Genomic DNA, 15887 nt, shown 5'->3' with positions numbered 1-15887 from the left:
CTGGATGTGTGGTGTGCCACCCTCTTCCCTTAGCAGTGATTTCCAATCATGCTCATCTTGTCCGTTTGTGCTTGGACCCAAGGCACAGCTTCCTTCCTGTGCCATACCCAATGGGTATTTTTACTTCTTCTTTGGAATGGAGTTGTTTTGTGGGGACACAATGATTTCCCTAGATTGCTTCATAGCTCTAAGAATGTATCCTTGACCTGGAAAATCTCTTTTTTTTTTTTAATATGACAGTATGACCTAGTGGAGTTTTGCAAACTGTGCTGCCTACTGCTAAGAAATGTAGTAATTCTGTTGTGTTCTATTCCCCACCTTAAACACTTGAAGAGGCTCATGGATTTCCTTACTTAATATTTCTTGCCATCTAAATCTACAGAGTTTCCAGTGTAAAGCAGAGAGCAAGAGATAACTTTGAATGATTCATGAAGATTCTTAAGGCCACCTTTCCTCTGCATCTATGATCACAGTAATACATTTCTCAAAGTTACCATGTTTAAGAGTAAAGTTCAATTTTGTCCCCCAAATGTGTTAATATATCTTTGAAAATATTCTCTCCCTATTTTTTTTTTTTTTTTTTAGAAACAGAGTCTTGCTTTGTCGCCCAGGCTGGAATGCAGTGGTGTATTCACAGCTCACTGCAGCCTTAAACTCCTGGGTTTGAGCACTCTTCGCATCTCAGCTTCCTGAGTAGCTGGGGAAAGTATTCATTTTTGAACTTGGAAAATGTATGAGAAAGGTCCAGATTACCCAGCCCGCAGGAAAGGGCCATTGTCTCTCACATCTCCTAGCAAAACTTCTGATCCTGCCTCACACAGTTAACAGGGTGAATCCTCTACTTAGGAGTGCTGTACAGGGGTTTCAAGAAAACAAACACCTGTGCCTGCACCCGGGTCTCGTCTTCACTCCCCCATCCCAGCCTAGGAGGTGCTGGCCAGGCTCGCCTCTCCTGTTCCCAGAACCAGGAGCAGCTCCCCCCTCCTTTCCTCTCTTCTCCCTCCGCCTGACCAAACCCTTCCTTCCTACCAAAGGACAGACTTTGGAAGCTGGAAAGTCACATGACTGTAGATTATAGTGCCTGCAACCCTTCTATATTCCTTCTAAAGTCCACTCTGAAGTTTGTTATTTTATCTTTGTTTGTTTTGCTTGTTTTTTCTTTCCTTTTTATAATACCTCTGTAAGTGGTTAGAAATCAAACCTTGCCAATAATCGGCTCAGCCAGCCCTAGAGGACAGGGTATAAAACTCTCTTTGTGACTTAAATTGAGATTTTCCTAAATGTTGTACACATGAATGCTGGCAGCAATTATGCTAAATTTTGTCTCTAAGGTTTTACTTTATCACATTACCACCAAAACATCTATCAAACTATAGTTACTTAGAGGGATGACAATAGATATATTTTGGAGTGAAAAAAAAAAAAGAACCCACACAACACAGGAATCCCAAGGACATCAGAAAGAGCGTTCCCCATATATTATCTCTGGGCTATGCCTTCCCATGCAGCGAAAATGCCACTCAAATTAGGCTGTTCAGAAAACTAGAAGTGTAAGAGTTTAAATTCCCTTGTCTTCTTTTACAGACCAACTGTAAAACAAACAACCTGTAGTATCAACAATAAAAAAGTAATTGCTTGAGCTTCTCATTCTCTCAAGACCTAAGTGTTGGCCTGGAATGGTGGCTCATGCCTGCAATCCCAGCACTTTGAGAGGCTGAGGTGGGAGGATCGCTTGAGGGTTCGAGATCAGCCCAGGAAACATGGTGAGACTCCGTCCCTACAAAAAAAATAAAAAAATCAGCTGGGCGTGATGGTGTGTGCCTGTAGTCCCAGCTATTTGGGAGGCCAAGGTAGGTGGATTGCTTGAGCCCAGGAGTTCGAGGCTGCAGTGAGCCATGATTGTGCCACTGCACTCCAGCCTGGGTGACAAAGCAAGAACCTGTCTCAAAGAAAAAAAAAAGAGAGAGAGAGAAAGAAAAAGAAAGAAGGAAAGAAAGCAAGAAAGACAGAGAAAGAGGGAAGGAAGGAAAGAAGAAGGAAGGAGGGAGGGAAGGAAGGAAGGAAGGAAGGAAAGAAAGAAAAAAGAAAGGAGGGAAATACTGGCACCACAGGCCCTGCAGGAAGAATCCCCAGTGCTGCTCCTGGTTTGTCAGAATATCTTCCTGTCATTGGTGTATGTGTCACCAGGTATGCAGGATGCTGAGTTCTGTTTCCAAACACCTTCACCTTCCTTGCTGGGCAGCTTGCAGATAAGGGAGGTGGATAAGATGAGATATGTTTTTTATTTGGGTAAACTCCAATAAAATTAATGAAAGGAAAGAGAGGCCCTGGAGTTTGGCGTCAGAAAGAAATAGTCTGTCAGAATCATCTTTTTCTGTTTCCAGTTCATCAACGGAATGGTAAAATCCCTGAGATTTTGAGCTTTCCAGAGGGTTCTAACAGGCAGAGTTGAGAACCACTGATCTATACCTACCAAATAGGAATCATCCTATTAATAAGGCTTTTATAGATACTTGATGAAAGAGCACTAAAGCGGTCCATATGCCTTGATTTATTCAAATAGCTACTATCTGGAAACTCACTCCCAACCTTTGGGCCACTGTGGTGAAGAGGCAGCTGTCCCAGTGGGGTACTGAGCACCCACCTCCTCCCTTCCCTTGAATGTGTTGAAAGTGGACTCTGGCCAAACGAGGAAAGATGTCTCAGAAAAACACCACCACACCAGGGAGATTAGAAGAAGAGAAGGGCATTTGCCTCCCATCCCTGACCCCCTTGACTGGGGCTGATTATTATGGGATGACACCATGTGTACAGGTTGTAGGTCTTTCACAGAGAACCCATCATTTGGAGCTACAGACTTTTCCCTTTCTAGGTTACTTCCTGAGTGGGGTTTCAGATGACCCACCAGGCAAAGAAACCTCAGGATTTCATTCTCCTTTTTTGGTGTATTTTTTCCTCCTAAGCTTAATGACAAAAGTCCAGATAATTATTGTGATCTTCTGTAGACCCCAGGGAAACCAGGTACTACTTAACCCTGCAGAGAGAATGAGCCACCACGTCCCACAAAGCCACGTGCCCTCTCAGCGCTTCTCTGCTGGAAGCAGCTTCCCCAGCCTCAGGCTGCATGCCCAGAGCGCCCTGGACGGATGACCCAGGGGTGAGGCAGGTCACCCTGGCGCAGGGCCACCTCCAGGGTGTTCATGACAGGCAGGAAACACTGCAGGAATCCGGTCTCTTCACTACTGGGCTCAGCTCTTCACCCACTATCTTTTTATTGTTTAGCTATACTCATAGTTTGTTGTTGTTGTTGTTGTTGTTGTTGCTTGTTGTTTCATTCACTCACCTAAATCAAGGAGGCCCAAATGTTCCAGATAACTCTAGATAACATAAGTGTGGCAGCAGTTCATACACAGTAAGCCATAGCAGAGTGAAGAAAATGCCTCCAGCAGAACAGTCGTGGATCTCAGACAGATGGGGAAATTCCCAACTTATTTATAAAGCAGGTATACACACATACAATACTAAAGATCAGGTAAACACGAGCCTAGAAACCTTCTAATCCTTGGTGGAAATAGAAACTGCTGAAGATATACACCTGAAGAGAAGTTAGTTTGATGCATAATGTTAACCCCAGACATGTATTTAAAAGTATAACAGGCTGGGCGTGGTGGCTCACACCTGTAATCCCAACACTTTGTGTGGCCGAGGCAGGCAGATAATGAGTTCAGGAGTTTGAGACCAGCCTGGCCAACATAGTGAAACCCTGTCTCTACTGAATATACAAAAATCAGCCTGGCGTGGTGGCACCCGCCTGTAATCCCAGCTACGCAGGAGGCTGTGGCAGGAGAATCACTTGAACCTGGGATGCGGAGGTTGTGGTGAGCCGAGATCGCACCACTGCACTCCAGCCTGGGCAACAGAGCAAGACTCTGTATCCAAAAAAAAAAAAAAAAAAGTATAACAAAGGAGGCAGCCATATTTGTTTATAGAAAAATATGCCAAAGCTCTACTTATGTAAAAATGTGTTTTTAAAACAACCAAATATATGTTAAAACTGACAAGTACTTTTATGGCTAAGATCCACATGAATGGACAACATTTCATTATTTCCTTTCCCTGCCTCCTGGGCCTTGCCCATCTCACCTAACGCTGGTGATAGAGTTTTGGATATATACAATGTGATTCACTCAACATTTACTGAGGACCTACATAGGCAATAGTTTTATGCCTTGAAAACAATTTGAGACGTATTCAATTCAACCCCATCTGAGGACATTGAGGGTAGGAGAAATGCCTGTGTCCCCAGGTTCACCCCACAAAATGCTGACGCTTTTGTCAGCATTCTGCCTTGTCAGCAGGGTGATATGAAGGATCACAGACCTCAGAGCCGGGCAGGCCCGTATTCAAATCCTGCTCTATAGTTCACCATCTTCATGCAAATTACTTAAGCCCTCTGAGTCCTGGACTGGACATTTTACATGTGTAAAATGGAGATGAGGCCAGGCACAGTGGCTCATGCCTGTAATCCCAGCACTTTAGGAGGCCAAGGCGGGCAGATCACCTTAAGTCAGGAGTTCAAGACCACCCGGGTCAACATGACGAAACCCCGTCTCTACTAAAAATACAAAAATTAGCCAAAGGTGGTGGCGAGCGGCTATAATCCCGGCTACTCAGGAGGCTGACGCAGGAGAATCGCTTGAACCCAGGAGGTGAAGGTGGCAGTGAGCCAAGATCACACCACTGCACTCCAGCCTGGGCAACAAGAGTGAAACTCCGTCTCAAAAAATAAATTAAATAAATAAAATGGAAGTGAGAAAGCCCACATTTCAGGATTGTTATGAGGCTTAAATAAGATCATTTAAAGTGCTTGACAACTAGTAAATGCTAATAATAAGTGCTTAAGAAATAAAAGTTTCTTCTTTCTTTAGTTTACTTTTTTTTTGAGACAGTCTTGCTCTGTCACATGTATATATACCTGTATATATATATATATATATATATATATATGTATATATATGTATCATGTCATATTATTATTGACAATAATAATATGTCACTATTATGCTTCTCTCCTTGGGTACAGAATCTGCATGTTCAGGACAAGAGGAACAGCAAGATCACATAGGTCCTATAGAGCAGTTATTAACTCTTCTGGGTTTGAACATTTGGCTGTACCCTCCTCTGTGGATAAGGATGGTCGCTGTGTGGGGAAGAATCTGTTTATATATATCCCTCAGATCTAAATTGCCTGGGCAAAAACATTTTCATTTTGCTCCTCTGGTTTCCCATCTTATTTTCACAACCTTCTTGTGGCATATTTTGAAGGTATTCAAGTCAGTTTCCACATAAGATATTTACATATCATCAGAGCATTGCAATGATGTTTTTGTTTTTTAATAAAAAACACATTTATAGATCATTGGCTTATAATTTGAATGCCTTTTTATTAAAAATCAAGATTACACAAGCAATCACTGAGGCTTTGCTCTTGAGCGACTAGGGTTTCTAAGAAATAAGATGAATTATCTAATGCATAGTGAGTCTTTTTCTTATCCTGTCAATTGCACTCAATTTTTCTAGCTAAGAAAGATTTGAAGCCAGGTGTATGCCTATAGCCCCAGCTACTTGAGAGGCTGGGGTGGGAGGATCACTTTAGCCTAGAAATTTGAGGCCATCCTGGGCAACATAGGAAGACCACATCTCAAAAAAATTTTGTCTCGAATTTACACACACATTCACATCTGTCATTTAGATATACTTGTTTGCTTAAAAGCCTTTTAGATCTTTAAAAGCTTAAGATACACCCGCCAAAAGAAGGCACTGCCACTGATGAAGAGGAGCCTGAGGAATGGGAAAGATCTGATGGGGGTGAGAGTAATTCTTCTGAATTGTTAATCCGGGAGGGCACAGCAAACAGTCTCCATTTCCCCTGTGGAGGGAACTCAGGGCCTGCAGCGAGGTGGGAAGGCTCCATCTGAGCCTCAGCAAGAACCTCATTATCGCACAGATGGCTCTCTCACCGCGGGGCTCGTTCAGTCCACTCCGCTGCTGACTGCCTCTTTGGTACCTCCTTCTAATAGGATTGTGACCTCTCCTTTGCAAGTTACTTGGGCAGTTTACAGAATGCAGGAGGTTTACTAGGTGACCTGGAAGTCCTTTCTGCCTTGTCATGCTCTGGGGCAGACCAGAGGAGGTTGGAACTCTCCCCGCCCCCCACCCCCACGTGAGCCACACCCTCAGAGGCTCTGGCTGACTTTGAGCCAGGTTTTCCTGGAGCCAGGACCAGAGACAGAAGGAATATACCAGAGGCTTTACACCCACCTTTGCCTTTATTTTGTTTGTTTATTTATTTATTTATTTTTGAGATGGAGTCTCACTCTGCTGCCAGGCTGGAGTGCAGTGGGGCAATCTCGGCTCACTGCAACCTCCGCCTCCCAGGCTCAAGAAATTTCCGTGCCTCAGCCTCCCGAGTAGTTGGGATTACAGGCATGCAACATCGTGCCCGGCTAAGTTTTGTATTTTTAGTAGAAACGGGGTATTGCCACATTGGCCAGGTTGGTCTCGAACTCCTGACCTCAAATGATCCACCCACCATTGCCTTTAATCTTTACTACACATCAGTGAGGAAAATGCTGTCATTCTCACTGTACAGATAAGGAAACTGAGGCTCAGAGAGCTCAAGGAACTTACCAAGGCTGCAGGGCTCGTTAGTAGAAAAGTCAGGATTCCCACTCTGCCTGTGGACGCTGACACCCTTCTCTCACCCACTCCAGCTCCCTCCATCCAAAGTGTGGAACCGGACCCAGGCTTCTATGACCCATCTCTGTTCTTACTTCAGCAGCTAGAGCCTAAGGTGATGGCAGACTTGCACCTTTACTCTTCCTTCCTCTCTATAGGTAATTCCTGATTGTAATGGTGGCTGACAAAAGGCAAAGTGAATTGAGGAAGATGAAGTATCTGGGTGAAGCCAGAGGTGCTCTTGCCTCAGCCCCTGGGGAGTTTTCATTCTTTCCGTTTCAGGAGGAAGTGAGATGCCTCCAAAGACAGGCAGACATGTGAAGGAGCAGGCCAGCAGCAGGACTGCTCCTTACCGCCTCCAAGTGAGCCCTACTCCCATCTCCCCAGGGTGGGACCACGTGCCCTGGGGCAATGTCCAGCACAGTGGTCAGTCGCCTCAAAGGCCTTCCTCATGGCAGGGCTAATCCCAGCATTTTGGGACCCTGAGGCGAGCAGATCACTTGAGGTCAGGAGTTCAAGACCAGCCTAGCCAAACGGTAAAATCCTGTCTCTGCTAAAAATACAAAAATTAGCCGGGTGTGGTGGCGCGTGCCTGTAATCCCAGCACTGGAAAGGCTGAGCCAGGAAAATAGCTTGAACCCAAGAGGCGGAGGTTGCAGTGGGCCAAGATTGCACCACTGCACTCCAGCCTGGGCGACAGAGTGAGAGTCCGTCTCAAAAAAACATCAGGCCTGCATCAGATCCCACTTACCCATAAGATAGGCGAGTTCTTGACCACAAGCCAAGGGGCAGAACCCCAAGATTCTGGAAGCTCCACAGACCCAGAGCCAATGTCTGGTATCCTCAGAAGAAACCTCTAGAACTTTTTGAAGCTTTGTTCAGGCCACACATGGGGAAACTGGGGCTTGAAGGGGGCCACGAGGAGGAGCAAGCCTGCCAATGTGACTCTGGAAAATTCCCCTTCCCAGGGAGCTCCTGCCCTAATACCCTACAGATGGTGACTTCCCTCCTAGGCCTGCCACAAGAAGACACAGATGGGCAGGATCTCCATAGCTTAAAAACTGAAGGCATGTTCTATGCCTGGCAGGGAACATCGGGAGGAGCCAGGCCTTCCAGGTAGCAAGGAGGATGTTTGTGTGAGGGTCAGTCCCAGCAGCACCATCTGTTGGTGAGCTCACTTTATTAAGGGCATTTCCAGGGAATTAGATGTTTGTTTTAAAAGAAAAGCTGTTCAAGGACACTTGCGCAGGGTTCATCATGTGAGACAGCCACAGGGGAATGGTAGAGGCAGGAACCCCCTACCCCCCAGCTTTCTCTCCACATGGCCTCAAAGAAAGGTGCTGGAGCCATGGACACCAGGGTCTTCTGCAGCCCAGGACTTGGCTTGGGTAGGAGTTAGGCCAGCCAGCACAAGGAAAATCTTTGGAAATGGGCTCAATTAAAGTTTCTGGATTATCTTTCCCCAGCACCCTACATACTCCTCCCTGCTCCCATTTTAAAAATATATAGGCTGGGCATGGTGGCTCACACCTGTAATCCCAGCATTTTGGGAGGCCAAGGCAGGAGGATCACTTCAGCTCAAGAGTTCGAGACCAGCCTGGGTGATATAGTGAGACCTCCCCACCCCCTACAAAAAAATTAGCCAGGTGTGGTGGTAGTGCATGCCTGTAGTCTCAGCTATTCAGGAGGCTAAGGCAAAATCGTTTAAGCCTGGGAGATGGAGGCTGCAGTGAGCTGTGATCATGCCACTGTACTCCAGCCTGGACAACACAGCAAGGCCCTGTCTCTAAAAAAAATCCAAAAAAATTTTTAAAGAGTTTAAAAATTTTAAAAAAGAAAGAAACAGTCATTCAAAAGATTAACTATTACCATACTATGGGTCAAAACATTCCACACAGTGAACTTTCTCTGAAATCCTTTGCCCCAGAAAGGAAGTATTTGGATACACAGCATGTTTCCTCCTAACTTTATCCAAAGAAGAAAATAAGCATTGAAATAGAAGAAGCTTAATTTTGTTAATGTCCTGGGATGTTGATGATAATCCATTCATATTTTTATTAGAGTAACTCTTAATGTTGAAATAGCTTTATAACTAACAGGCTCAGGGCATCTTCATTGTCCAGAGTAATTTCCCTGTGTAGAACTCTCAATGGCTCCCCACTGCCCACAGAAAAAGGCCACGCTCTTTGGCATAGCACATGGTCCTGCCCCAGCCTAAGTTTTGACTCCTCTTTCTACCACAACTGAAGCAGGCCCTGTTCTTTCCTCCATAATCTTGAGAACCATCATCTCATTCCTAGAATTGCCTTCTCCTTTATCTGTCCTCTGACCTCTTATCCCTTAGGATTCTGTTCAAATATTATTAATACCTCTTTTCCTATTAATAATTTATCATGCTTAACCATGTTCATTATTCTCCTCTTTTTTTTTTTTTTTTTTTTTTGAGACAGGATCTCTCTCTGTCGCCCAGGCTAGAGTGCAGTGGCGTGATCTCAGCTCACTGCAACCTCCACCTCCCAGATTCAAGTGATTTTTGTGCCTCAGCCTCCCAAGTAGCTGGGACTACAGGCATGTGTCACTATGCCCGGCTAATTTTTGTATTTTTAATGGAGATTTCACCATGTTGGCCAGGCTGGTCTCGAACTCCTGAACTCAGGTGATCCGTCTGCCCTGGCCTCCCAAAGTGCCAGGATTACAGGCGTAAGCCACTGCTCCTGGCCTATTCTCCCCTCTTTGACTCCACTTTTTAATCAGCATATGTGTCTCATGATGCATTTAATGATTTGTTTGCCCATCTGTCCCTGCCAATATGTTGTGATCTTAACAACCAAGAGCTTGGTGTTTGCTAATACCTCTAGAATCTAGCATTGGATATTGAAAGGACAGTTTAAGCACCACTTTTCTGTAAAATGGGAAAAAATACTACCCGTCAGCATTTTCATGAGATTAATATTATACGCAGAAGGGCCTAGCATACTGCCTAGAATGTAGTACCTATCCATTAGCATCAGTATCCATAATACCAACAATATTCATATTATGTTTGTTAAGTGAATGCTTAAATCTTGCTTTATAAAATTATAGTCACATGGTTATGCAAAAGTATACTTCATTAGATTTGGGCAAAGCTGGCAAGGTAAAAGAAGGCAGTTTGGAGGCTGAGCTGCAGGGTGACTTCTGGAATGACAGCACCTCATTGCTGACTCACTTAGCCCGTCTATGGCTCAGCTTCCAAGACTCTACAAATTAGCCAGTGAGTATTAAACACCAGCCCAGCCCACAAGGTAATCAGATCCAGGAGAGCCAGCTGATAACATTCCTGGAGTTCTATCAAAACACTGAAGGCTTACTATGAGGCAATGACAGTGGTGGATACAAACATAAATCAGGTGTTTTCCTGGCTCTCAGCTCACAGCTTCATGCGGGCAGCAGAGACATATACAAGGGACAACAAGACAAGCTGGAATTTGGCAGATGTTATAGTAGAGATACAAGCAAATACATTGATGGTGCAAAAGAGCACAAGATGAATTTTATTTGAGGGAATGGGAAGCAGGAACGCAGGTTTATTCTGTACCCATGCTGGGCCGGGGGTAGCTCATTTGGTCTTCATAATATGGTGAGATAGAGAATGTTGGCCGGGCATGGGGGCTGATACCTGTAACCCAGCACTTTGGAAGGCTGAGGCAGGAGTATTGCTTAAGCCCAAGGAGTTCAAGACCAGCCTGGGCAACATAGCAGGACCCCATCTCAAAAAAAGAGTGTTAACCTACTTTAGAGATGAGCACCCTAAGGCCCAGAGAGGTGAGATAACTTAGCTAAATCACACTGATAGTACACTAGGCTTCGAATGAAGGCCTTTCTGGTTTTGACGCCAACACTCTTTACTGCACCAGCCTAATCCCCAAGGGAGCTGAAATGGCCACATGGAAGCAGAGCGACCAAGTAGGGAGAATTGAGTGCCCCAGATAGAAGGGATCATGTAGACAAAAATCCAGAGAAGAAGGTTCAAAGATGTGTGAGTGTGTGTGTGTGTTTGTGTATGTGAAAGGGGAGAGTGGAAGGAGGGAGTCATGGCTGGAAAAAAGCCTGACAGACTAGGGCCAGATCACAGAGTACTTTGAGTTTTAGTCCTAAGATTGTTGTCCACTGTTATTTTTTAAATGATGATAATGAAACTATAATAATAATATTATATAGTGCCTTTATTTTTTTTGGTCTTATTGAAGTGTAATTGGCAAATGAAAATTGCATACAGGACCAGGTGCAGTGGTTCACGCCTATAATCTCCGTGCTTTGGAAAGCCAAGGTGGGAGGATTGCATGAGGTCAGGAGTTCAAGACCTGCCTGGGCAACATAACAAGACCCCATCTCTACAAAAAAATTAAAAATTAGCCAGGCATGGTGGCACGCACCTGTACTCCTAGCTGTTTGGGAGGCGGAGGTGGGAGGATTGCTTGAGCCTAGGAATTTGAGGCTGCAGTGAGCTATTATTGCACCACTGCACTCCAGCCTGGGTGACAGTAGAAGACCTTATCTCAAAAACTTTTTTAAAAAAATTGTATACAATTGGCTGGGCACAGTGGCTCACACCTGTAATCCCAACACTTCGGGAGACTGAAGCTGGTGGATCACTTGGGCCCAGAAGTTCAAGACCAGCCTAGCCAATATGGTGAAACCCCATCTCTACAAAAAATACAAAAATTAGCTGGGCATGGTAGAGTGCACCTATAGTCCCAGCTACTTGGGAGGCTTTGAACCTGGAAGGTGGAGGTTGCAGTGCACCAAGATCACGCCACTGCACTCCAGCCTGCGTGACAGAGTGAGACCCTGTCTCAAAAAAAAAAAAAAAAAATTTATACAGTCTTGCATCCATTGAAGTATAGAGTACATTAAATAATAAAAATAAATATTGTATATAGTAGGCCCTCTGTATCCATGGGTTCCACAGTCATAGATTCAACCAACCATAGGTCAAAAACTTTTGGAAAAACATTTATGTTTATATTGAACACGTACAGACTGTTTTTTTTGTCATGATTCCCTAAACAATACAGTATAACTACTATTTACACAGCTCTTACATTGTATTGGGCATTACAAGTAATCTAGAGATGATGTAAAGTATACGGGAGGACCAGCCTGGCCAACATGGTGAAACTCCATCTCTCCCAAAATATACAAAAATTAGCTGGGCCTGGTGGCAGGCTCCTGTAATCCCAGCTACTCTGGAGACTGAGGCAGGAGAATCACTTGAACCTGGGAGATGGAGGTTGCAGTGAGCCAAGATCGCGCCACTGTACTCCAGCCTGGGTGACAGAGTGAGACTCAGTCTCAAAAAAAATAAAATAAAATAAAATAAAATAAAGTACACGGGAGGATGTGCATTGTATATGCAATGACTATACCATTTTATATCACGGACTTGAGCATCTGTGGATTTTGGTATCTTTGGTGGGGGTTGGAGGGTCCTGGAAAAAATCCCCCATAGAAAGCAAGGGACAACTGTATATTTAAGGTGTACAGTGTGACGTTTCAATACACATACACATTGTGAAATGATCACCGCAATCAAGCTAACATATCCTTCACCTCACATGCTTTTTATTTTTATTTTTTGTGGTGAGAACATTTAAGATCTACTACTCTCTCAGAAAATTTCAGGCATATAATCCAGTCTTCTACCTATAGTCACTGTATTGTATCTTAGATCTCCATTACTTATTCATCTTGCTTAGCTGAAACTTTGTGCCCTTTGACCAACATTTCCCCATTTTTCCATCCCCACAGCCCATGGCAACCACCATTCTACTCTGCTTCTATGAGTTGCACGTTTTTGGATTCTACCTACAAGTGAGATCATACGGTATTTGTCTTTCTGTGTCTGGCCTAAGTCACCTCACATACTGTCCTCAAGGCACACCAATGTTATTACAATATAATGCCCTTCTTATGACCAACTTAAGGGTATTTCGTATCTATGATGCCCATTTCCTGCCGACATTTGCCCCAGTTTATGGATCGGATCACTGAGACAAGCACTTGTTTCAGTAACTTGTGCAAAGTCATGACACAAGAGGCAGAGCAGACCCTTAAACACCTGGTCGCTAACAATCTACTGTGCTCTAGACAAAGCTGAAGAAGATGTGGACCCTGAGCCTCAGTTTCCTCATCTGCAAGATGGACATAATACCTACAAGGGTTGTCTCAAAGAGATTTTGCAACTTCACAAGACCGCACGGCGGGGGTGGGGTGGCAGGGAGGGGGGGATCTACTGATAGGGAGATAAGCAAATATTTCCTGTAACCCTGGAAATGTCATTAGGGCCCTTAGCAAAAGAGTTCTAATGTTCAGAGAGACTATCTGGAAGAGAGAAATCTACAACTGAAAGAGGCTGTAATGATGGGCACTCAAGAAAGGAAACCACCACCTTTGCACATCTGAGCCACTAACAATGACTTTAGTTGCTGAATATGCTTCTTAGCTCCTACTAGTAAAGTCTTGTCAAACAGGAAACAGGTTTTTAAGGCAACGGGGTCCCTGTGAGTTCAAACTTCTGCTTTCAAATGTTCTTACAAGATGCACAATTGGCACTGACTTACAGGAAATATTTAATTGGAATCGGAAGGCGCTGGCTCCACGGGCCTGGTTTTATATTGTCTACAGGCTTCTGCTGAAATGATTTTGGTGTGTAAGCACCAGTCCGTCACTTATTTATATTTGCCAAGGGGGAGTAAAACCAAAACATAGCCCAAGGGTGTTTCTGGGGCACAAGTGCAATCTGCACAGGGTTAGGAAAAGAGTGGGGGAGAAAAATTGCCATGCAAAAATTCCTCTTAAAAAGGAGAAGGGCTGGGACTGAACTCAGAGTGACATATTTATGAGCTCAGTATCAGTTGCTTGAGCTGATAAGCACTGGTCATTAAAGGAAGGAAAAGTCACCTTTGTGTATATAAAATATACAAGATTCGTAGTCTGAAAAGACTGAACAGGAAAGCATTGGGTAAATAGCGGATATCCCTTAAAGTATAATGTGAAAATCAAATAACTTCAAGAAGGAAGAATGTAGGTGTTTCTTTGTAAGTGAGAGGTTGAGAAAACGAATGAGTCCTTAATTTGAAATCAACATTAACTGGCCTTCAGCCTTTTGTGGCTCAATTCTGAGAATGTAGGACAAAGAAATGCTTCCTTCCCAAAAAGCCCTTTGGTCCCTCTTTTATGTGTCCCCTGCCTGGACTCCACACTGGCTGAGAGGACAGGTTATAGAGTCAACTGCATGGAGGTCAGGCACTCAGATCTGCCTGTCACTGGCTCGGTGAGATTGGGCAAATTACTTGTTTCTTCAAGTTGTCTTCTTCTTTTTTAAAAAAACTATTTTATGTACATATTTATGTATTTGTTTGTTTGTTTTAGAGATAGAGTCTCACTCTGTCATCCAGGCTGATGTGCAGTAACATGATCATAGCTGACTGCAGCCTCAAACTTCTGGGCTTAATCGATCCTCCCACTTCAGCCTCCCAAGTAGCTGGGACTACAGGGGCATGCCACTGTGCCTGGTTCTCTATTTCTTTATTTGCAAAATATGGATAATAATGGTACTTGTCTCCTGAGATTGTGTGAGGATTACATTGTAAAGTGCACTTCCGCTGCCTGTCCCGGAGCCTGGTCTATAACAAGCATTCTGTAAAGATATGTTCTTTTTATCATTATACCCAAGACCACTGGTCTTCCCAGAGATTTCCAAACCCCAGAGGAGTTTTGCAATTATCCCAACAAAGTGTCAAGGAATGAATTCTTCCAATACCCTCAAAGAGGTTAATTTATTTTAACAACAATATGACAGTCTAGCGCACCTTGGTAGGTGAGGGTGGGAGTGCGGACAGAAGAAGAGCATTTCCTGGAAATCCTATAATGATTTCATTTTCTAATCCCCAAATGACCTTGGTCCATGGGGATGCTGGCCCTCCCTCCCTCACCCCAGGCCTTGGTTTTTTGCAGTCTTCATCTGTAGTGTCATCAGTGGCCCTTAGATTAGGCCTCCCAGGGTAGACAACAATACCCCCCCACCTCCTGTCTCCGTTCAGAGACCACTAACTCTTCCTTATCCCTTATTTCTACTTCCTCTCGGAACCTGCAGGATTCCGGTCTGATAAGCATATCTGCATTAGAAGCCAGACTTTGCATATCTCAGGATCCACCCTCACCCTTGGAATATTCACCTCCATAATCCACTAACTGGCCTGTCCCCATTCGGTCACAATTGTAGGTTCCTGCAAAATGATGGTTTATGACAAGTGTTCTTCCCTCAGGCTAGGTTAGAAAAGATTTTCTCCAGTAGAAAACAGACTAGAAAAATACCTTATTTTTGTAGAATGTTCTACCATGCAGGATAAACTTTTGTTCCTTTGCATCCACCATGTATACTGTTGGACATGCCCCTTCAGGAGCTCCTGCTTGTCAGGGAGCTGGCTGCATGGGTAAAAGTTAAAAGTTGCTCATGGAAGCCTCAATTTTCATTTCTTTTTTTAAAAATTGACATATAAGAGTTGTACTGGCTGGGCACAGTGGTTCACTCCTGTAATCCCAGCACTTTGGGAGGCCAAGGCGGGCCAGCTACTTGAACCCAGGAGTTTGAGACCATCCTGGGTAACATGGTGAAACTCCCTCTCTACAAAAAATTAGCTGAGTGTAGTGGCACACATTTGTGGTCCCAGCTACTTGGGAGGCTGAGGTGGGAGGATCACCTGAGTCTGGGAAGTCAAGGCTGCAGTGAGCTGTGATGACACCACTGCACGCCAGCCTGGCGAAAGAGTGAAGCTCTGGGCTCTGTCTCAAAAAAAAAAAAAAAAAGCACATGGGGGGCACATGTGATATTTTGATACCTGCATACAATGCATAATGAACATATTAAGGCAACTGGTATATCCATCTATCCATCACCTCAAACATTTATCTTTTCATTGTGTTGAGAATTTCCTAAAACCTCATTTTTCAGACTGATTAGAAATAGAAGTGTGGGTGCTCTCTCTCCACTTTTCCCTTCTCAAGCCTCTATGATCTTTTCCTCAGTAAAATACATTCCTAGTTTGATTTTAAGTCATTCCTAATAACCCCTGTCCTGGATTCACCTAAAATGAAAACCTCAGAGA

General features: G+C 44.2%; 2 annotated features.

The window, feature by feature from the left end:
- Positions 6805 to 7714: an enhancer, noted in NCBI's record as "H3K4me1 hESC enhancer chr18:19689009-19689918 (GRCh37/hg19 assembly coordinates)". NCBI's record gives its function as "activates a minimal SCP1, AML or CMV promoter by ChIP-STARR-seq in primed H9 embryonic stem cells {active_cell/tissue: H9 hESC(primed)}" and the evidence as "EXISTENCE:reporter gene assay evidence [ECO:0000049][PMID:30033119]".
- Positions 12892 to 13471: an enhancer, noted in NCBI's record as "OCT4-NANOG hESC enhancer chr18:19683252-19683831 (GRCh37/hg19 assembly coordinates)". NCBI's record gives its function as "activates a minimal SCP1, AML or CMV promoter by ChIP-STARR-seq in naive H9 embryonic stem cells {active_cell/tissue: H9 hESC(naive)}" and the evidence as "EXISTENCE:reporter gene assay evidence [ECO:0000049][PMID:30033119]".

This window comes from Homo sapiens, chromosome 18 (genome assembly GCF_000001405.40).
Source record: "Homo sapiens chromosome 18, GRCh38.p14 Primary Assembly".
Lineage (NCBI taxonomy): Eukaryota > Metazoa > Chordata > Mammalia > Primates > Hominidae > Homo > Homo sapiens.
The sequence above is the reverse complement of the archived record's forward strand: the minus strand, read 5'-3'. Positions and strand labels throughout refer to the sequence as shown.